We start from the raw sequence: 23,935 nt of genomic DNA on the forward strand, positions 1-23,935 counted from the left end.
GCCTGGAGAGGTGAAAATAGAAACATACACACTGGCTCTTAGGCAGCCCAGAAGCCGCATAACCCATTCCCTCTTTCACTTCATTGTCCGAAGCAAGTCATACAGCCAAGACTAATTTCAGAGAGAGAAAGAAGTACAATCTTCCCACGTACCCATGAAGAGAGGGGCTCTGTGAGCATCAGGAGACAGCAATAATGTCTTCCACAGTGCCTTCTGAGAAAATAGAAGGTTTGTGTTTTCAAGCCACAGGAGACAATTAACCCGTAACAGAGTTCTAATCTGTGGGCAGGGCTTCTAATTTATGAATCATTTAAGATTATTTTTTTCTGCAATGAGTGATTACACCAAAATTATTTTTTATTAAAGAAAACACAGGGCCTATTAGGAAATGTTATCATCAATACTTCCTGCAGTGTGTCTCTAACTCATATTTCTGCAGAGAGAAGTCTGAAGTGGTGCTGCGGTGCCTGTGTGCATTCATCTGTGAATGTGTTCTTGGGACACTGGGAAGTGGAAACACGTGATTGGCTTAAGGTCAAGTTTAGTCAATGCTTATAAATTTCTCTTTGCAAGGTTAATGACTTAGCCCCTTCTAATTTAGCTGCACTGAAACTTGTTATAAATTTGTTAGCTCAGTTGCGTCTGTTTTAGGTCGGCCTTCAAATTGCAGGCTGCTCTCACTCCTTCCCCAAGCTTCCTCCTGTAAGGTTTCTTTGCGCTACGTCAATCCAAATGAACACTGAATTTAGGCTTCATTAGTTCTGGCTTCTACTCCCAGCTCTTCCATTAGCTAACTGTATTGCTTTGGAAAAGTTGCTTTACCTCTCCAGGCCTTATCTGTAAAACAAGGGAGTTGGCAGGGAAAAGATCTTCTAGCTATAACTACGTGTGATTCTAAGTCATGCTGTGAAGGCAGATAGAGAATATGTTTGTTTCTTCCTCTTTTCTGAGTTTATCAACAACTGGAGGAGCTATCTCAGTGCGAGCTTGGCCTCCTAACATACAGCAAAATGCCTTTGAAGATCAGTCACATTTCAGCACCTCCCGATGCATTATTTCCTCGGTTCCCTCCTTGAGAGCATTGAAGTACAGACCTCAGCCATAAGGTGCAATTTGTATGCAGTGTACTTTTTAATACCCTTTTCCTTACTTAAAACAAAAAAGTATACACACAGGTTGCAAAATATTCCTCTACTTATATTATCTTATGCTTTTAAGGGTTTTTGCTAGGATGATGATGTTGTGGATTTTAACCACAGGTTAAGTAACTGCTCTAGCTTTTAATTACTCATCGTTCTTAACATTTTTATAGTCACATATGTAACATTCAATGGATTCAAACATTCTGGAGCACCAGCTAGGAAAACGGGGTCATATTCCTTCACATGGTTTTGTTGGTATGAGGCCATTGAAGAAATGATTTCAGTAAGAGAAAAGTGTTTCTCAGGTGCCCAACTATAAATAGCTTCCTAAAAAATGTCTTTAAGGACAAGTTAATGTTTCGCTTGGAAATGCCTTCAGCACCTTAAAAATGTTAATCTCAGATTCACAGTCTTTTCTGGATTTTCTCAGCTCCAATGAGTAACTTGGAAATCCTAAAGATTTTGAAGTCGTGTACATTTTGATTAAAACCCTAGTCACCGAGTAACCTTGAGCAAGTTATGTAAATTCTCTGAGCCTCGGTTTCTTCATCAACAAAAATGGAAAGGTACCTATCTAATGAATCGTTGTGATGGTAACTAAAAAGTAATCTGAGTATACATTATCCATGACAGATGACCAACATCTTCATTCCCACAAAACTGTTGGGATGAGGTTTGCGTTATGTATGTCAGTACCGAACTTACATCAAAAGATTAGGTCAGACATTTAAAAAGCATGAAAAACAGGTATAAATTGGTTTAGGCAAATCTATCTCATAAGTAAAGAAAATGATTATTTGAATTTTGTCAAAATTCAGCTGGAGTGTTGTAAGCTTCCTGGTGATCACTGAGTTAGTAATCTTCTCCTACGTTCTGCTTCATTCTTTGACTTTATTGTTTCAATGGGCTACACAGATCCAAAAGTGAGGATAGGAGACTTCTATTAGGCTGGCCAGCATGAAAAAATACTGCATATGCAACTCTTTTTATTTTATTTTATTTGAGACAGAGTCTCGCTGTGTCACCCAGGCTGGAGTACAGGGGCACAATCTCGGCTCACTGCAACATCCACCTCCCAAGTTCAAGCGATTCTCCTGCCTCAGCCTCACGAGTTGCTGGGATTATAGGTGTGTGCCACCACGCCCGGGTAATTTTTGTATTTTTAGTAGAGATGGGGTTTCACCGTGTTGGCCAGGCTGGTCTCAATCTCCTGACCTCAAGTAATCCACCCCACCTCAGGCTCCCAAAGTGCTGGGATTACAGGTGTGAGCCACCGTACCCAGTGTCTTTTTATAAATTTTATAAACAACTTTAGCAATCAAACATTTCTTCATCATTCAAATGACAACTCCAAGATATGTCCATCACCTGTTTATACCTATTATATCTGAATTAAGCCATACATCTTTTTATACTTTCAGTATTTTTAAGTAGAAATCTTGAGAAAATACTGAACAGAAGGAAATTATGCTGTACTGGAGTTCTATCTGTACTTCAACTTAGCATCTATAAAATGTTCTTTCTTGTTATCCACTGGTCAGTTTATAATTCAATTTTGTTTTTATTCTATGCCTATGGTTCTTTCCTAATATTTTTTTTAACTTTAACAATTTTCTGAGGAAAAGAACCAAGCTCACTTTTCCTAAGTTTCAGGTCTTTATAAAAAGCTCAATTCAGGTACTATTTCTGAGTTTCTCTTCATTCCCATGCATTAAGATTTCTTGATTTCTTCCTTCAAAAACAGTTGTCCCTCTTGCTGTTTTTTTGTTTTTTTGTTTTGTTTTTTTTTTTTGGCTCCTCTTCCCAAATTCAGTTTTATTTTCTCAGGCCCCAAACAAAGAACACAGAACCTTAGAGCTAGAAGAGATCTCACATATTATCTAGTCTTCCTGCTACAGATAAAGAAAGCAAGGCCCTGAGAAATTACATGAACTATCTTCTAGCTCCCAATCCTTTTCAGTATGAACCCCTCTTGACCCCCCTTCTTCCTGTCAAAATAGAAGAAAGAAGAAAGAAAAAATTAGTTGTTTTAACTTGGGCAAGTAATTTTGATTCTTCGAATTATTTTCTCATCTACGAAATGTGGGTGTTTGGGTTGATGGGCAACATGAAGAGGAGTCTGGGGAAATTAGATACATGGCCTATGAATCCTTTTCCAAGTTATAAAACCTACGATTAAGGTATAATGGAGTCATTTAATCTATCTACCAGGAAGTGGAGGGATCTGACAGGCTTATTTCCTTTCTTCCCAATGCCACCTTACAGCTGTGGTCTTGTGGTAATATGGCTGCTACAGTTAGAAACCAAAATTAGAAACCAAGCAACCACAAGAGGAAAGGCTCTGGAACAATTCTAGGCCCTGACCCAGCATTTCCAACCAAAGACACTGCAGGCGTCCACGCTTTGCTGCACATATGGTCTCTAGTCTGCAACTCTATGAACAGTGGGCAATCTCCACATACCTCAAATGCATACCTAGAAACCTTCATGCTCACTTAACTGAGACTTTTCAACAAATCTTAGAGAAAAAGAAAACTAGATAACCAGTTACTTAACTACGGACTATAACTCAACTCATAGCAGAGTATCATCAACAGTTCTGCTGCCATGATCCAACATCAGAGAAATACTCGTTTTTCATCAGAACCACTGATATGAGCTTCTCTGACATTGAGCTATGGATTTTATTGTTATTTTAAAGAGAAATTACTGTCAAGCACATGAATTTTATAACATCTGTTTTCATTCTGAAACCCTTTTTCCCAAAGAAGTTTCCTTTTTTTCTCAAAGAAGTAAGAATTACCATAGAAGACCCAAGAATTCTAAAAACTTCACAAACTTATACATAAAAATTAAACAAGTTGTCAAAGTCATGGATTTGGGGGTGAAAGGGAGGAGGTTGCAAACTAGTCATACTGATGACCTAACCTTAGGAACACCAAAAGAGAAAAGTACCCACTGGATTCTTCTCTTCCTATCCAATTATATAATAACATAGAGATAAATTCCAAGATTCACTTCAGTTTAGAATTCTTTCATGATGATTCCCAGGTTGTCTGAGGTATAAACCATTATGTTCATCCCCCAGAGAGCCACAAGGAATTAGAAAAATACAACAGATCCCTGGAGTCAAGAACTCTTAGCCCTTTACCCACAAATGACACTCAGCTGGGTCAATAATACTTGCTTTCTAAAAAAATACAGGGATGTGATATTACTCCTTTATTAAAACAACTTTTTGAGCTGGCCTGTTTATGTGATTTTTTTTAAAAAAAACAGTGTGTTGGTGAATTATGTTACAATTAGTGAAATTTCAGGAAGGAAACCACTCAGGACTCATATTTTATGACTGTGTCACTTGAAATATTATGGCTAGAGTCTGATTTATCAACAATCTGCTAGAGGGATGATAGTCTTCTTCTGTATTTTTAAGAGTGCAAAAGGAAGACTTGAGTAGTTATTATGTGGCCAGCAACTGATTTATATTGCTTCCCATTGCAGTCAAATAATCTTGAGCAAAAAGGGGGGAAAGGGTAATTGTAACAGTACAACCTCGCTGTAAAACATAGAGTGTTCTCTTTATACGGAGTTTCTCAATGTGAAGTTTTGTGTGACATTTAATATTGTGGCTGGACTTTCATGTCAGCTGAAATCAAAATTCTCACGTAATTACAAAAGGTACATCCTGTGGTTCTCAAGCCACAAAATGATGGCCTAGAACAGAAGGGAAAATATACCTGGGGGATGGGAACGTGTGAAATCCTTGCTTTTTTTTTTTTTTTTTTTTATCATAGCTAACAAGCAAAAGAAACACCACCCCGGCACCCATGGTTTTGACTCAAACATGTAATGTGTGGGTTCAGAGGATGCTACCGAAATCCCACTTATGTCTGTTGCCGATCATGTTTCTCTAATGGTATGTTTTAGACATAGAGCTCTATGACTAGGGACAGGCTTAACTCAAACTACACTGAGGTTTGGAAGAACATGCCTGCCAGGAGCCTAATGTACTTAATACAACAGGGCTGGGTCAAGAAAGTGTCATTTGGTATTGCTACAACGATAGGAGGCACAGGCTATTTTAAGAACAATATGGTTTGGGGTGATCTCTGTGAAGTTTATGAGTAGTCAGAGAAGAGAACATAAAACTTGCTCTACACATGTAATTAAAATACAGGGTAACTAAATTCATGTGCAAGTAATAGGAGAGCAGAGTGGAGCCAGGGGATCATAATCAGCATCCTGGTTGAAGTGAAAAGCAATTTGTGGTGGCGCTTTCAAATTCCTACTTTAGTGGACAGATTTGGAAAGCTCACGTATAGTCTTCCTGGCTGGGTGGGTTTACTATCATAGCCCTTTCATTTTAAAAATGTCTCTAAAAATAGCAGTTGGGTTTGGTTTTGTTTTTTTTCTCCAGGAGAAATCACACCATTTTATAAACAAATCACTGTTTCATAGAAGCAAACATCTAACAGCTAAGCTGCACAGTAATCGGTGTTTCTATTCTCCTTCTATGTGGGGTGGGGAAGGTTACTGGGCCTGAAACTCCAGCATTCAGAGATGGCCTCCCACACTTCCATGGGGCCTATCAAATTCCAAAGCGTATTCTACATGTGGATTTGTGAAACAGAGACAATAGAGTTGGGGAGGAGACTTTACGAAATAACAGATATTACTAACTACCCTGCAGTTGGCTATTCTGTGGTCCAAACATCTGTATGATGGACTGAATTATTCACTTTGTCCTGGAATATCAGGAACCACCCATCTCTCCTGGCCAGATGGGGCAGTTGGGATGGCTTAGACTGTTAACCATGCACCATGCTACTACCAATTGGCAGACTGCCTACGTGACCAAGACTTGGCTCCACACAGAAACGTTCAACTGTTATTCCTAATAAGCCCTATAAAACAGACCCCAAACAGCCACAGACCAGATTTATAAGGTGGTTGGGGACGGGGAGATAGTAGGATTTGAAGAGATCGTGAAAGAACAAAAGATCTTCCACATGGGTTTGGATTATAAGTGATCTGTAAAAAGAACAATCATGCACAGAATACTATCTGTGGACCATGGCCTCCAGAATGTCAACATCTAAACCATACATGCATATTTTGGGGAAAACTATCTCTCTTGTTTTTAAGTGAATTGTTAGCTTGTACCATGAACTATATCAACTTGCAGAACATTAAAGTGAAAAGGGTATTAGACCCCATCTTAATTAATGTCATCGTTTTCCCCTAAGGGGAAAAATGTCCAAAGACACAGCACAGTCAACTTTTAATACTGTGGACCAATCCTGTGTTCTGGAGATAGAGCATAAATGTGAAGAGACAAGCATGGGCTCTGGATCAGACAGATTCGGCATGGTGTCCCATCTCTGCCACATTCTAGACGCTACTTCCCCTCTTAGAGTCTCTGTGTCTATGCCTCCTAGGTCAGAATAAGATCAGATCGAGGTCAGCAATGGCTGCCTCTCTCTAAATGTGGCACTAGCCCCTGCTCAGGCAGCATTCATAACAAGAAGAGTGTTTGCATTAGGTAAGATGAGAAGATTCCAAGAAAAAAAAAATAACTTTTAGTGGATTGGCAGAAAAAGAAAAAAAAAAATCCATCAAATATTCTGGTGCTTAAGTTTTCCCTAGATCCCTGGGGCTTCTAGAGCCTACCTTCTAGGACCCACTGGGGCAAAGAGAGACTGAGGGGGTGGGATTCCAGGACACTCCTACCCACCTCTACTCCCACCTTCAACTAGAGCAGCTTTGTGTCTTTCTCTTTCACATATTGGGCTCCTCAGCTGTACCCCATTAAGAAATATGTACGTTTATGTACATATCAATTATCCTCCCACCTTCACTCAAAATGCTCGTGGTGAGAACAGCACAGAACTGAATATAAAATAGCTGGGCAGTCTCAGGCAAGTCACTTGCCATCTCTGGACCTTGTACATCTTATCCCTAAAATGGGAGGTTTGGATCAACGACTCCTCAGGTCTCCTTCTGGTGCTAACAGCCTCCCCTCCACCTGTCCTCCCCGTAATGTGCAGCCACCAGCATAGTGAGAGGAGGCATTTTCCTTTCCCTTTCCTGGTGCAGAGAAGCCATTCTCCTTCCCAGCGAACACATTAGACTTGGGCACGAGCCACTCCCCTTCTTCTTTTTCTTCATTTGAAGTTCCAACTTCTCCCAGGATAACAAGCCTCTCCAATCTGACTGACTTAAAAAACCTTTTCTGTCACTCACTTCTTCATGCTAGGGTGAAGTTTTTTCTGCGCACCTTTCTCCCTCCCCTCAAGGGTTGTGAAGAAAGGGAGGAGAGGAGTTCTTGTTTCTCGCTCGCTCTTTTTGTTTTGGTTTTTTGTTTGTTTTCGTTTTCTGTTTGTTTGTTTGTTTGTTTGTTTGTGACAGTCTCACTGTCACCCAAGCTGGAGTGCAGTGGCGTGATCTCAGTTCACTGCAACCTCCGCCTCCTGGGTTCAAGTGATTCTCCTGCCTCAGCCTTCTGAGTAGCTGGGATTATAGGCGCCCACCACCACACCTGGCTGATTTTTGTAGTTTTAGTAGAGACAGGGTTTCACCATGTTGGCCAGGCTGGTCTCGAACTCCTGACCTCAGGTGATACGGCCGCCTAGGCCTCCCAAAGTGCTGGGATTACAGGCATGAGTCACCACGCCCAGCATTTCTCGCTCTTTTTGACTTGCCCTAGTCTGTCTAATATTGTCCTGGCAAAGAGAAAAGGAAGCGGGGCTAACTCAGTGTGTTGGGGAGACAAGCGGTTTTAAGCAATCCTGACTACACTTGCCATAAAATGCCAGCTGTCCATGTTTGTTGAACTCTGAGACTTGAATAATATTGTGCACTTTATCTTTATGGCCTCTTTTATGCTAACAGGCCTAGGGGTAGCAAAAAAGGGCAATGTACTGTAGTCTGCTAAAAGCTTTGCCATTTGATTGCTTCATAATTTCACCATTCATCTAATTTGGAGTGCACATTTGTGCAACAAACCTGTCTGTCACCCTTAACAAGCTCTTTGGTACAGACCGGAACAATCTCCCATAATGTAAACAACCTTCTCCTTCAGCAGAGAAAGAAAACACACAACAGGTTTTCAACACTTGCAGAAGTAATTGCCTTGGACTTTCCCACCCCTGGTATTGGATTTCTCAAGTCCCAGGACTCTTCATCAAGGAATATCTTTTAAAACATTTTCCCCCTATTCTTTCTTCAAAGCAATTCCATACACATTTTCTTAACACCTTCTATGCATAAGCCCCCACACTAGGAAATGCAAGCTATGGGACCCTCTGTAAGATCTGGGCTTTGCTTCCTGGAGAAAGTCCCTTCTGTAGTAAAGAGAGCACATGCTTTAGAGTATGACAAATGTTGTTTTGACTTTGAGTCTTCCACTTGGTAGCTGTGTGACCCGGGCAAGTTAATCATTTTCTTCCAGCCACATTTTCTCATTTCCAAAATGAGGTCTAGATATTAGCTGCTATAGATTGGGGGACACCAAAAAGGACGTTAAATGTATGTGCATACACATAATTAATAATATAAAGTGAATTAAATACATTTAAGTGTCATCTACTGTCTGCTCACCCAGCCTACAATTTCCTATCTCAATTCCTTGAATCAGCCACCTTTTATTTATTCACATACAAATACACACAAACACCAAAGGAAAGAGAGAGTAAGGGAGAGGAAAAGAGATGTGGATTTCATTTCGCTTCTTCAGCAGCTTCCCTTAGGATAAAGACCTTTCCTCAATTAATGAAATTTTCTAATTTGCACAATGTAATAGCTGACACAATTGAATTGAAGGAAGGATAGAGAGTAGACCATGCCACATTTCCATCAATCTGTAGAAACATTTAAAGGTCTATAAGAATTGAAATGGTTTAAATTGAAGAAAATTCTCAAAAGGGATCTAACAAGTCACAAGAAGGAAATCTGGGGGCTACCATATCAAAAATGACAATGAACATTGTGATTTAAAGTTGAAAATAAGCTTGATTTTTTTTTTTACTGCTTTGACAAGATTGACTATTGGCTTTGATGTCATATTAAAAAAATTCTACAATAAAAATTCCATAAGAGTTATGGGACCATTTCTTAATTATAACCATCAAAAGTAGGTAAACAAGGCAAGCACCTTCTTTCTAAATGACTGAGTAGAAAAGCTAATGACAGATAACATTTAAAACATAAGGACCTGAAGAACTTCTTTACCTTCTCTTTTATGAAAGAGTTCAAGAGTGATGAGATAACGAGTGAGATAATGAGATGTGAAATGGATAAATTATAGGAAGGTAAAAAATGGCTAAAGCATTGTAGAGAAAAAAACAATATATTCTAATTAGCTGAGCCTGGAAGTTGGCATTTAAGGGAAGCTAAGGAGCTTATAGGGTTATTTATTTGGGTTTTTCATTTTGTTTTGTTTTAGATATGCTGAAGACTGCAATTTATAAAATTATGTGTCTGTCACTCCTACCAAACCATGAGGTCCTGGGGAGAAATGAGACACTATAATGAACCAGGGTCTTCAACTAGGCCCAGCCTACAGGATGCATTTAGTGATGATGATGACAAAGACAACAATGAAAGCAATAAAAAAAAAAAAAGAATAGCTAATGCAACTGGAATAATAACAGTTAACATGTATTCAGCTCCTACTGTGGCCCCAGACACATTTCTACGAATTGTATATGATGTATATACATATGTATATACATACATCCTAATTAAATACTTAGGTGATCCTCAGTAGAGACAATATTAGTTTTCCAACACATTTGCAGAATATCTTCTTTTTTTTTTTTAGAGACAGAGTCTTTCTCTGTCCCCCACGCTGAAGTGCAGTGGTGCAATCACAGCTCACTGCAGCCTGGAACTCCTGGACCAAGAGATCCTCCCACTTCAGCCTCCTAAGTAGCTGAGACTACAGGCATGCACCACCATGCCTGGCTAATTTATTACTTTTTGGTTTGTTTCGTTTGAGACAGGGTCTCGCTCTGTGGCCCAGGCTAAAGTGCAGTGGTATGATCTTGGCTCACTGCAATCTCCACCTCCCGGGCTCAAGTGATCATCCCATCTCAGCCTCCTGAGCAGCTGGAGCTACAGCGCACCACCATGACCTGCTAATGTTTCTATTTCCAGTAGAGACAGGGTTTCGCCATGTTGCCCAGGCTGGTCTGGAACTCCTGGGTTCCAGCAATCTGCCCCGCTCAGCCTCCCAAAGTGTTGCAAAGTGCTGGGATTACAGGTGTGAGCCACCACGGCCAGCCTCTTTTTGTTCTTAATAATTCATGATTCCTTGTCACTCCACCCTTCAAAGAGCCATGGCTGTCTAACTCAGATTACAGAAAGTCTTACGAGACAGAAGACCATGGCTCAAAGAGGATATCCCTGCCAGAGGAGAAGAAAAAGCTAGTCTGTTCAGCCCTGAAGACTGTGAAGCCAAAACTTCAATGGGGGCTATCCATGAATAGAGGGATTGTGTGCAATTTTACTTCTCTCTTGTGTACTTACTTATATATGCCTATATGAAACAAGGAACGTGTATTACTTCTAAAATAAGTAAAGAAAGACATTATGGAGCCATTTTTTTAAAGAGAATGATATGCTACAGTCCATGAAATGAATTTCAATCAACAATAAAATAGTTAATGCTAAGACACATTACAATCAGTATTACAAAAGAAAAACAAGAAGCAATGTCATTATGAACACTGAGTGTCACTTGAGATTTCTGTCTAGTTTGAGGCCTGAATGCTCTGAGCCCTGAAAATAATAATAAAAATGATTTTGAGAAAGTAAAACAGGACCTCTCTTGAAAGGTTAAGAAAGCTGGGATGAAAGAAGAATTGAGGGACAATTTATCAACAAATTCAAATTGTCATAAAAATGATATTGACCAGCTGTTCACCACCTCCATTTAGGACAAAACAAGACAAACATATATCAAATTGCCATGAGTTTGTTGTTCAACAGTAAAACAACCTTCTCGAACATAAATGTGATAGATACTGAAATTCATAGCTCTTTATCCCTGGAAATACTTCAAACTAATATATATGGGCAACTCTTGAGGGTCTGCATATACAGTTTTGCACAGAAGCTAGACAAGTTACATTCTTGCAAGTCTAACATCACTCTAATCCAATGGATTTAAACTATTTGAACCATGATGAGAGGCCTTCATGTAGTGCTGTATATAAAACAAAGTTTCTCCTATTGTATTTAAGTTAACTCAACCATAACCACACAACACCCAACTTATGAAACAGTTGACCAAAATTTAGGCTTCTCCAGAATATTTTCTCTAAAAGAAACTTTGCAGCAGACAGATTTTAGAATAATATTTGACCTCCACTTAGGTTTTCTCTCTTGCTAGACTATAATGAGAACTGGAATTATAATTGGACATGATGGAGTCATTCAACCTGAACCCATTAAATTGATGATGCCAAAACTGTGGTATTCTGGTTCCTTGGGGAGGGAAGGGGGTGTAAATTAAAAGAAGATCTATGTTCCTGTACCAATGAACTCAATAAATCTAGTTTCCTGTGTTTTATATTTATTATATTTAATATTTATGCAATGATTTTTCATTAAACATACCACAACAGGCCAAATATATATATGTGATACTTTACAGCACTCAAACTTTTCTATCTGTGCCCTTACCTGATCCTTGCAACAACATTAAGCAGGCTCCATATTTTATCATTTTAATGATTCTGGAACTAAAGTTCAGAAAAGTTAAGTGATTGGCTCACGTTTATTCAGCTAGTAAGCACTAAAGATTAAACTGGGGTCATATGACTAATCCTTCAAGTCTCTTTCTGTTTCACCATTCTTCTTTACATTCTCCATTCTTTAGAAGTTCACAGTATAGTTGGTGACACACAGTCAAAATGGTAAAGAGTATCAATATGTAAATAACCCCGTGAGGCCATGCAAAAGTCACAGGAACCCATATAATCAAAGAGCGAGATTGTGGCATAAGTTACAAGGGCTGCTAGAATCTAGACAACAAAGAAATCATGGTGACCAGAGGAGGCAAAGATTGATTAAGGAAATGACGTCATATGCTAAAGTATGGATAAAGTTTTTTAGACTAAGAAGGGAAGGAAAAACATTTCAGTTAAAGAGAATGGCAGAAGCACTAAGTGGGAACCTCAGTGGTAGCTTCAGAGGACTATGAAGAGATTAGCTGGAGTGCAGGGTCCACACAGAGTCAGGACGATGTATGGCAGGATCTGGGAGAACCTTGAATAGGGTAGAATTAATATTGACTAAATATCATTTTACTCTAGGCACTTTATAAGCCTGACATCATCTATTTCTGAAATACTCTCAGGGTAATTACCATCCCTATTTTCCAGATGAGGAAATTGATATTTCAGCCATGTTAAGTGGTTTGTCCAAAATCCTGTAGCTACCAGTGTGAATTACCAAAAAATGGTCACAATTTCCTGTCCTAGAAAGCATTCCCCTTTTCAATATGCTTTGCCTCTTATCCCAAACAGAAATGTAGACTATGTCTCCCACCCTTGACTCAGGACTGGACTTATGATAGAAATGTGTCAGGAGTAGCATGGTTGCCAAGGCTAGGACCTAAGACACCTTGCAACATAGGTTTTTGTCAACTGGGAATGCAGCAGCCCTGTGAGCACAAAGCAGCTGGCCTAGACTCCTGGAGGATGAGAGGCCACATGAAGGAGAACCTCAGTGCTACAGCCAAGAGCCAGCAGATACTGCCAGAGATGAGTGGCACTTACATCCATCTGGGATTTTCCAGTTGACCATCCCTCCAGCTAACTGCAGCTGCATCAGTCAGACTGAGTGAGACTGGCAGAGGAAACACCCAGCCAACACCCAGGATCATGAGAAGTCATCATTCTTATTTTCAGGTATTTCTTTTTTTTTTTTATAGCAGCATGATTTATAATCCTTTGGGTATATCCCCAGTAATGGGATGGCTGGGTCAAATGGTATTTCTAGTTCTAGATACCTGAGGAATCACCACACTGTCTTCCACAATGGTTGAACTAGTTTACAGTCCCACCAACAGTGTAAAAGTGTTCCTATTTCTCCACATCCTCTCCAGCACCTGTTGTTTCCTGACTTTTTTTTTATTATTATACTTTAAAGTTTAGGGTACATGTGCACAATGTGCAGGTTTGTTACATATGTATACATGTGCCATGTTGGTGTGCTGCACCCATTAACTTGTCATTTAGCATTAGGTATATCTCCTAATGCTATCCCTCCCCCCTCCACCCACCCCATAACATTCCCCGGTGTGTGATGTTCCCCTTCCTGTGTCCATGTGTTTTCATTGTTCAATTCCCACCTATGAGTGAGAACATGCGGTGTTTGGTTTTTGTCCTTGAGATAGTTTGCTGAGAATGATGGTTTCCAGCTTCATCCATGTCCCTACAAAGGACATGAACTCTTCATTTTTTATGGCTGCATAGTATTCCATGGTGCATATGTGCCACATTTTCTTAATCCAGTCTATCGTTGTTGGATATTTGGGTTGGTTCCAAGTCTTTGCTATTGTGAATAGTGCTGCAATAAACATACGTGTGCATGTGTCTTTATAGCAGCATGATTTATAATCCTTTGGGTATACACCTAGTAATGGGATGGCTGGGTCAAATGGTATTTCTAGTTCTAGATCCCTGAGGAATCTCCACACCGACTTCCACAATGGTTGAACTAGTTTACAGTCCCACCAACAGTGTAAAAGTGTTCCTATTTCTCCACATCCTCTCCAGCACCTGTTGTTTCCTGACTTTTTAATGATCACCATTCTAACTGGTGTGAGATGGTATCTCACTGTGGTTTTGATTTGCATTTCTCTGGTGGCCAGTGATGATGAGCATTTTTTCATGTGTTTTTTAGCTGCATAAATGTCTTCTTTTGAGAAGTGCCTGTTCATATCCTTTGCCCACTTTTTGATGGGGTTGTTTTTTTCTTGTAAATTTGTTTGAGTTCATTGGATTCTGGATATTAGCCCTTTGTCAGATGAGTAGGTTGCAAAAATTTTCTCACATTCTGTAGGTTGCCTGTTCACTCTGATGGTAGTTTCTTTCTAAGCTTGATTCTTTCTATCATATGACACCACTAGTGAAATTGAAAAATTTCCAGTTATTAATTGGGAGCTATTTAAAGTATTTGAGCTACAGAAAGAAATGAAGAGAATACTATTCTGAACAATGAAGTTGGCATCCTAAACTTGCAGAGAAGAAAGTTGAGGTACTTAGTAATTATAACAACTTGGGTTTTAGTTACTGAGTATCATAAAGGTGGTTTGAATTGAGAAGGCAACCTTCCCGCCTACTAATTTCTCTCTCTCTTTGTTAGTAATAAAAACCTCGTCAGGAAGAAGTGGCACTGTCTGTCCGTGCAGCTCTAGTCGGCTCCTCAACGTGGAGCCATGGGAGGCCTTGGGAAGAAGAATTATGAACGAGGCTCAGCCACCAACTACATCACCCAGAATAAAGCCCAGAAGAAGCTCCAGCTGAGCCTGGCTGACTTTAGGCAGTTGTGCATTCTGAAGCGCATTTATCCCCATGAACCCAAACACAAGAAGAAGGTTAACAAACGTTCTACAGCAGCCCAAACTTTTTACCTTATCGAAGACATCAGGTTTCTCCTCCATGAACCCATTGTCAACAAGTTCTGGGAATACAAGGTGTTAATCCGGAAGCTCCTGAAGGCCTATAGGAAGAGCAAGTGGAAACACTGTAGAGTATCTAAAGGACAATAAGCCCAACTACAAACTTGACCGCATCATCAAGGAATGGTACCCTACGTTCACTGATGCCCTGCGAGACCTGGACAACGCCCTCTCCATGTGCTTCCTCTTTTCCACCTTCCCACGGACTGGCAAGGGCCATGTGCAGACCATTCACCATGGAGTTCATGCACTACATCATCGCTGCTAGTGCCCTGCCACAAGGTCTTCCTGTCCATCAAAGGCATTTACTACCAGGTCAAGGTCCTGGGACAGCCCATCACGTGAATCACCACTTATGCCTTCTCCCATGACCACCCAACAGACATGGACTACAGGGTCATGGCCACCTTCACCGAGTTCTACAGCACCCTGCTGGGCTTCATCAACTTCCACCTCTACCAGTGGCTCAACCTCCACTACCCACTGAAGCTCGAGGGTCAGGCCCAAGAAGAGGCAAAGGCCAGTGAGGGCACCCATGCATTGGACTCTGAGAGCTCCATGGAGAAAATGGCTGCCCTCACTGCCAGCCTGGCCCGCGTGGTGGTGCCTGCCACAGAGGAGGAGCCCGAGGTGGATGAGTTTCCTGCCAATGGGGAGATGTCAGCACAGGAGGAAGAACGCAGGAAGGAGCTGGAGGGGCAGGAGAAGCACAAGAAGTTTTCTGAGGGCCTAAAGTTCTTCCTGAACCAAGGGGTGCCCCGTGAAGCCCTGGCCTTCGTCATCAGTTTTTGGGGGGAAGTGTCCTGGGACAAGTCTTTGTGCATCGGGGCCACCTATGACATCACGGACTCCCGCATCACCCACAAGATTGTCAACTGGCCTGGGCAGCAGACCTCCATCATTGGCAGGTGCTACATGCAGCCCCAGTGGGTGATTGACTCGGTGAACGCTAGGCTTCTCCTCCTCATGGCAGAGTACTTCCCTGGGGTGCAGCTGCCCCCACACCTTTCACCTTTTGTGACCAAGAAGGAAGGAGATTACATCCCACCTGAAAAACTGAGGCTGCTGGCTCTGCAGCAGGGAGAGGACCCAGGAATCCTGAATGCACCCGAAGAAGAGGAGAAAGAGGACGACAACAATGAAAATGATGGTGATGAAGGGGGAGAAAATGAAGAGGAGGAGGAGGAGAAAGATGCAGAGGCTGGTTCAAAAAAGGAGGAAGAGGCCCAGCTGGCAGCCCTGGAGGAGCAGAGAATGAAGGGGAAGACAGGCACCTTGAAGGTGGAGGATGAGCAGTGACTAGCCCAAGAGGAGGAGAGCGAGGCCAAGCACCTGGCCATTATGATGATGAAGAAGTGGGAGAAGTACCTGTACCAGAAGATCATGTTTGGCAAGAGGCGAAAAATCCGAGAGGCCAACAAGCTGGCAGAGAAGCGGAAAGCCCACGATGAGGCGGTGACATCTGAGAAGAAGGCCAAGAAGGCAAGGCTGGAGTGAGTGCCAGTGGCCCCTCACAGGGCTGAGGCCAGCTCCTGGCAGCTGGACGTGGCAGAAGCAGGCCAGAGGACCTAAGTGTGATGGACATAGTCGCTTCTCTCCTCCTCCTTTCTCCAGCCAGCCCTGACCCCTCATGCTCTCTGAGGGCAGCCCTGGCCTCTCTTGGATGGAGCTGCCCTGCCGGTGCCTAGGCAAAGAAGAGGCCTCTGTGCCCAGCCTGATTCTGTGCTCCCAGGAGCCAGTGACAGGAGGTGCAGGGGCCCACCCAACCCCTTACCTGCTGCCCCCATTCACCCTGGCTTTCCACAGCCCCCTGCCACACAGTTGGACCCATGATTCTCACGGTGCTGTGATGGGGTGAGGGTGGGGGGAGCATTTGTTATTAGATGACTGGATTTTGTGCCAAAAAAGAAAAAGAAAAAAAAACCTCAACATTTTCTGATGACATGGGCCATCAGGAATAAAAGCTACATTTCCAGACCTCCCTTGTAGATAGCAATAGCCATCAGACTAAGTTCTGGCAATTAAATCACAGCAACAGTGTTAGACAGGAGCATTTTTGCCTCATTTCCTTGTACTTTAATAGCACTTCCAGCCTGAAATATAGATATAAAGGCACATCCTCTGCCACCATCCTGGATCAGGAAGATAAGAACCACACATTAGATACAGTAGTGTTGAAAAATGCCTGCATCCCTGATGACCCCACGGTGCCACCATGCCGATCCTTCTACCTTTGCATTATTTTTGTGAAAAAGTGAACTATAATATTATCTTGATGAAACTACCATAATTTTGGAGTTTTTGTCACATTCAACTCAGCAGATAAATTGGTAATTGGTGCAGGAAAATTCTGGGAAGGAAGCATCAGAGGATTTGGTTCTCCCCAGGTACAGGAGACAAAGATGATGTCCAAAAATGAGAGAACTTTTTAGCCTGGATAATTCAAAACACTATAGTATTTTCCCTTTTATGTATTCAGTTCCCACTCCTCCCCTTAGCCAACCAACACATCAGGGAGTCTTGAATCATGGGAATTTATGCAGTCTTCTCATTCTGTAGTTTGAACCCCATGAGTACCAAGTCACACTAGTTGCCCATTCCAAAATGCAGCCAAGTAGGAAGAAATTCATAGTATGAGTAGAATGGCCATAAAAAAAAGGTTGGCCAAGATCAACACTCCAATCCTTCTCTTACTTGGAGTAAAGTTGCTCTTATCCCGGAAACACTATAAACCTGTACAACTGAAACCTGTACAATGAAAAAGTGTCATTTGGGATAGAAAGAAATGGTGCTCAAGATGCCTGGTATACATCAGTCAACAAACAAAAGACACAAAACTTCTGCCTTCATGGAACTTAGATTCTGCCAGGGAGAGGCCAATAATAGAAGAATAAATATAATCAGTAAAGTAAATGATATGGTATGTTAGACAATGATACATTCACTGTAAAAAGAGGAAAAGAGCAACTTGGGCAAAGCAGAAGTGTCCTCAGCAGGAGTTTGGAGGGAGCAATGTTCATTTCTAAGGATACATATTTCATTAGAAGGTAGGCTAGCTGGAGTATATAGAACTTTCAGGAAAAGAGGTTTGTAAACATCCACAAAAGAGATGAACTTACTGCAGATAATGTGTTCAATCCCTTTAGGTCGGTGAGATAGCCTGAGTGGTTAAATCAAATATGGGTGAGATCCACATATAATGGTTCCCAGTTTAGAAAACTAAGGAGCCCAGTAGAATTAACATTATCAACAGTACTGCTTAATAATTAAAGTCACATAATAACTATAATCAGTTGAACATAGCTCACATTTATTGAGCTTTAACTACATGCTAAGCACTGTGCAAATTGATTAAGAGAGATGAGCTCTCAGAGGAGATGGTACTTGAGGTAGAGGGAATCCTATTGAAATACTTTTTTTTTTTTTTATTAGACGGAGTCTCACTCCGTCGCCCAGGCTGGAGTGCAGTGGCACAATCTCGGCTCACTGCAACCTCTGCCTCCTGGGTTCACACCATTCTCCTGCCTCAACCTCCTGAGCAGCTGGGACTACAGGTGCCCGCCACCGCGCCCGGCTAATTTTTTTGTATTTTTAGTGGAGACAGGGTTTCACCATGTTAGCGAGGATGATCTCAATCTCCTGACCTTGTGATCTGCCCACCTCGGCCTCCCAAAGTGCTGGGATTGCAGACGTGAGCCACTGCGCCCGGCCTTGAAATACTTTTTAAAGAAAATAATCAGAAACATATTCCTAATTACCACAAAGAAAGTATGACTTGCTGTGTGTGTGTGTGTGTGTATGTGTGTGTGTGTGTGTGTGTATACTTGCACAGCCTTGTAAATACTGGGGTACTCTACATGCCCTGAGCACCTGAAAAATTTAGTAAATATTTAGACGTCAACTGGTTAAAATGACATTAACTAAAACCTTTTTGAACATGCTATTGGGATAGGGGATGGGTTATGGTATAAATTTACTGGCTGCTATTTAAATGAAAAGAATTACAATGCACTTAATGTTCATTCTAATCAAGTGATGCTAGAAGATTGAATTTCAGACTGTAAATGTGGTGTGCACATTTGTCTCTGAGTGAGACTTTGCATCCCAGCTGTTGAAACATTTGTGGGAAGGTGAAAGTTTTGTGGACTAATAGATTCCTGCAGTGGGGCACAAGCTTAATGCAGCAAAAGATGTTTTCACTGAAAAGACAAGTCATCTCATCCTTCATAGAGACACAGTCATTCTGGGTACACTTAAGCAAAACTTATTCTCCCAGGAAGAGTCTGTGACAGTAGAGAATATATATCAGTAAGAAAAAGCAGTTCATCCTTCTGAAACACAGAGGGTAACTTAGGAAAGTAAAATTTTGTACAACTCTCAAGATACTACCTGATGCTGACAGCTAGTATCTTGAGAGTTGTATAAGAGTTAATGTTTAAAACATCAATTGTTTATAAGCAAGTGTTTAATTATCATGAAATGTTATTTTTATGTATGGCAGGAGTAGGCAAGAAAGAACAAATGAGATTTTTAATAAATTGCTTGTTTCTTTAGATATTATGCTGAGTTAACCCTACCTTAAATTGTTATAGCATAAATATAAATCAATCCAAAATTTTAAGGAACTTACAAAAAATTCAAAAAGTTAGTAACTTCGAGAATTAGGATATGATCCCAGGATATCTGACCCTGAAGGCAGTGTGTTTAATCAGTGTCCTTGCCAATACACACACACACACGCACATACACACACACACACACACACACACACACAGAAAGAGAGAGAGAGAGAGAGAGACTTTATGGAACGGACCAGGTTACTTTGTTACTTTTGAGCTTATAAGACTCTTGCAGTGGATAATTTTTGGACTGTTCTTTGGATGGCCAGCCTCTGCTCCCTCTTCCTTTTAATAACAGCACCCAGACTTTTCTCTTAGAAACAACCTTCTCCCAAACGTTAACCCATGAACTTCAGACTGACTTCTACCCCAGGTTTAGGAATAGGATGCTTTTAGTCCTGGACAGAGTATTTCATTCCCCTGGCCACAGGGATTGACTCATTGTTGTGCATGTAAATCAATCTAAGCCAGACCCACTAAGACATTTTCTTGAGCTACTAGGAGAAAGACATGTTCTCTTTCCACCAGGACATGAAATTGGAGGGGATTAATTCGCCCATCATGCCACCATATGGAGCCTGAGAATGAAGCCAGACTTAGAAGAGCAGAGAAAATTTGGAGTCACTGAATTCAGCCATGTCCAAAGTCAGCTCCACCCCTACCCCACACATTTATGTGAACTCATAAAACACATTTTATGGAAGCCAATTGGACTATGTTTTCTATTGCCCCCAATACCAAGACTCCCAAGGGAATCAGTGTTCCTTTACAGGCAAGAGAGAGACAGGCTTGCTTGTATCAGCAGAGCACGGTGTGGAGCCTTAAAGACGGACATGTGGCAGAAAATGTGATTTCAGGAGCTGACAAAAACACTGTACTAAGTAATTCCTGAACCTTAGGCTCTTCACTGTATGGTGAGACCAGGCCTCAGCCCTGTCCCCATCATCTCCAGTTTTAGGTTCCTGGAGTTTCAGAAAACAGAACAGAGAACTCAGATATCCTTAGTGAGAAGATAAAGAACATCATCAAGAGGCAAGAGCTTTGTTTCGTGGCCCAAGACTTTTAATCTTTTCCTACTTCTCTCACTATCTCTTTCACTCTATCTCTCTGTCACTCTGTCTCTCTGTCTCTCTCTCTCTCTCACACACACACACACACACACACACACACACAAAACCATGAAACCCCTAGCCCCAGAGTCCATGATAAAGGAACTTTGTGAGGAGACGCCACACCTTTCCTGTTTCTCTCTTTTATCTCCCAATTGTACATAGAAAAATATCCCAGCATGAGTTGGCTGTAACATAATCCGGGCTAAATGCGGAAATTGCAAAACTGAGGCTTAAATAGACACCACATCCTTAGCTCAATCTCACTGAATCTCTTTAAAACAAAATAAAAAGGAAAAGACAAAGACAAATCATACCTGGGGGAATGATTGCCTAAGTAAACTCTTGAGTTTGGTTGGTCTGTCTTTTGTCATTTTAGGCCCAGACTGCCTGCACTGTCAATGTACTTTTGTTGGGAATTATCAATAGCTACATAAACAGAGCATATCTTTTCACAGCAGCAATAACACACACACACACACACACACACACATACACACATACACCTCCCCCACATTAATGCTTTCTGGTTTTTCTATTGCTCTGTCCGAGATGGAGACAAAAGATTTTTGAGGACTGGATGACTTAAAGGAGAAATGCTGCATTTCCTAAAATGAGGGCATTGTACTGCCTTTTCTGTCCCACTATTAGCATCTGAGCCTTCAAACAAAAACGCAGGCAAACAAAAGCCAAGGGAACCAGGGCAACCATCTCCCAAGGGTTAAAACTAGATCAAAATCAAATGGCACACTTCACCATGTCTTCTGCATGACTGATACTGCAATCGATCTGCAGCGGTTCATTTTCTCTCTGGAATCTCTGCCTACTGAGAACAAATACAAACACATGTGGAACCAATAGGAAGCAGACTAAGGGCTTTAAGAGTTCTGCGCCAACCTGTGTCAGAGAGCTCTCACTTAGCAGATGGGGCAATTAATAAAAGAGTCAAACGGTCCAACTGTGTCAAGGTGCCTTAAGTGCTAACAATCCCCTTTTGTCTTCCCACTGTAGAGTACAGATGGATTCCAATTCAGAATAAGAACTGTATTGTGCCGTAGTTTACTCTTGTACAGTGTCCCTGTATTAACAGAGGCCAGGTGTCCTATGTCTCCCATTTTAAAGACAAACATGATACTGATTTATCCCCCTGCCAGCATTTTAAGTGCTGACATGACCACTAATCTGGGGGAAATTAAAATTTATAAGTAAATTAGCCTTTCAAAAATATCTGAAAAGGAAGGATTTGCCATCAAAGTATTGCCAGTTTGTGTACAAGCCTTGCTGCTCATTGATTCTAATCACAAATATATGATTCTTGCCCTTCAGCCGACAGCTTGGGTTTATTGAAGTCACTCAAGACTGAGCATCCCGCAGGTGCTACTTTATTTTTTTAAGATCTAGAAAATGAAAGGTCAGGGTCAGAAGTGGTTGCAGGAGTCAGAAGTGGTTGTACATGGTTCTTTTTTTTCGAATATGAGCCTTAGTGTTCTGGTGAATTTTCAGCTCACTGAATTGCATTCTGCCTCAGCCCCTCACCCCGTCTTCATTGGCTCCCTAAGCTACTGCAGCCACAGACAGTAACCAGTGATCTTCCTCTCTGAACCAGGCCCAGAATAGTGGAAATGTGTCTGCCACTCCCAAGCCAGCTGCATGAAACTGAGAATGTGCTTCACTGCCCAAACTGAATGCCAACCCCGAGAGACCTGGCGTGCGCTAGTTTAAATGGGCAATCCCTCATAATTCTTTTCCCATAGACATCAAAATACCACGAGGAAAAGAGCACATTAGATGTTCCATTGTGTCCTCTTTAACTCTCCACCTTTGTGATATATGAGATAGACTCCAGGAGGCCATGGGCTGTGCAGGGGCCTTCTCTTGGAATTTCCCCTTCAATCATCGTTCAGTGAAATCTGCATCTGGAACAGGCAGATAAAAAGCAAGCTCATCTACTCACTTACATAAGTCATCAGAGGCTGTAGAAAGCTCACGTAGATGTTTGTTGTTGTTACTGCTGTTGTAATGTTAGGGGTGGTTTTCCCATGTGGGCTGAGGGTCAAGCAATGATTTACTTTGCTAAAATAAAAATCAGAAATTTAATTAAATTCAACAAACATTTCTTGGGCTCTAACTCTAGCTGGTTCCAAACTTCAGTTTCAAGACCTATTCAGAGTAAGTTAAGCTTTTAAGCTGAAGGGAAACTTCTAGATTATTTTGTCAAATGTCCTAATTTAGAAGTAAATTCCAGAGAAGCCAAGCAATTTGAGAAAAGTCATAAATCTAGAGGCAGAGCCAAGGCTGAGCCGAGCACAGTCTGTTGACTGGACCCAAATGACTCCAACACTCTTTCTTCTACACACCCGCATATGTTAGGTTGATGCAAAAATAATTGCGGTTTCAGGCCTTGAATTTTAAATCATTATAACTAGGCTCAAATACAACTTTGAATTGAAATAGGAACAATTACAGTCAACACATTTTTGCCAACAAGAAATAGGTTTATTTCTGCAGCATAAAAATCCATGCTTTGGGATTGGATGAACTCTTAGAAAGCATTTTTTGCATCCTGCTGGTTGCAAAAGTGTTTTCTCTGCAAAAAGTTGTCGAGATGCTTGAAGAAGTGGTAGATGGTTGGGGAGAGGTCGGGTGAATTTGGTCCCTTCAATTTGGTTGAAGCAAAACTTCATAGCCCAATTCATTACACTTTTGAAGCCTTGGTTGTACGACGTGTGGTCAGGCATTGTTGTGGAGAAGAATTGGGCCTTTTCTGTTGACCAATGCCAGGTGCAGGCACTGCAGTTTTTGGTGCATCTCATCAATTTGCTGAGCATACGTCTCAGATGTAATGGTTTTGTCAAGATTCAGAAAGCTGTAGTGGATGAGACCAACAGCAGACCACCAAACAGTGACCATGACCTTTTTTTTTTTGGTGCAAGTTTGGCTGTGACAAGTGCTTTGGAGCTTCTTCTCAGTCCAACTGCTGAGCTGCTCATCACCGGTTGTTGTATAAAATCCACTTTTTGTCGCATGTCACAATCCAATCGAGAAATGGTTCATTGTTTTTCCATAGAATAGGAGAAGATGACAGTTCAAAATGATGAATTTTTTTTAATCTTCATTCAGCTCACAAGGCACCCATTTATCAAGTTTTTTCACCTTCCCAATTTGCTTCAAGTGCTGCATGACTGTAGAATGGCTGACGTTGAGTTCTTCAGCAACTTCTCATGTAGTTGCAAGAAGATCAGCTTCGACAGCTTTGAAGAGAGTAGTGGTTCTCCCAGCACACAGCTTGAGATCTGAGAATGGGCAGACTGCCTCCTCAAGTGGGTTCCTGACCCCCGAGTAGCCTAACTGGGAGGCAACCCCCACTATGGGCAG

At 41.4% G+C, this 23,935-nt stretch overlaps 1 long non-coding RNA gene and 1 pseudogene across 3 annotated transcripts in view; one reads left to right on the top strand and one right to left on the bottom strand.

Annotated features, from left to right (window-relative positions):
• Positions 1-23,935, bottom strand: part of LOC101929507 (uncharacterized) — a 203,870-nt gene that overhangs the window by 155,363 nt on the left and 24,572 nt on the right. The window contains exon 5 of one of the 3 annotated variants that reach the window (XR_001746622.1): positions 21,270-22,633. The exons of the other annotated variants lie outside the window; for them this stretch is intronic. This is a non-coding gene — a long non-coding RNA (uncharacterized LOC101929507). Of the gene's footprint in view, positions 1-21,269; positions 22,634-23,935 lie in introns of those variants that run through there. 3 annotated transcript variants of the gene reach the window in all.
• PES1P2 (pescadillo ribosomal biogenesis factor 1 pseudogene 2) lies at positions 14,534-16,526 on the top strand (annotated as a pseudogene).

This window comes from Homo sapiens, chromosome 9 (assembly GCF_000001405.40).
Source record: "Homo sapiens chromosome 9, GRCh38.p14 Primary Assembly".
Lineage (NCBI taxonomy): Eukaryota > Metazoa > Chordata > Mammalia > Primates > Hominidae > Homo > Homo sapiens.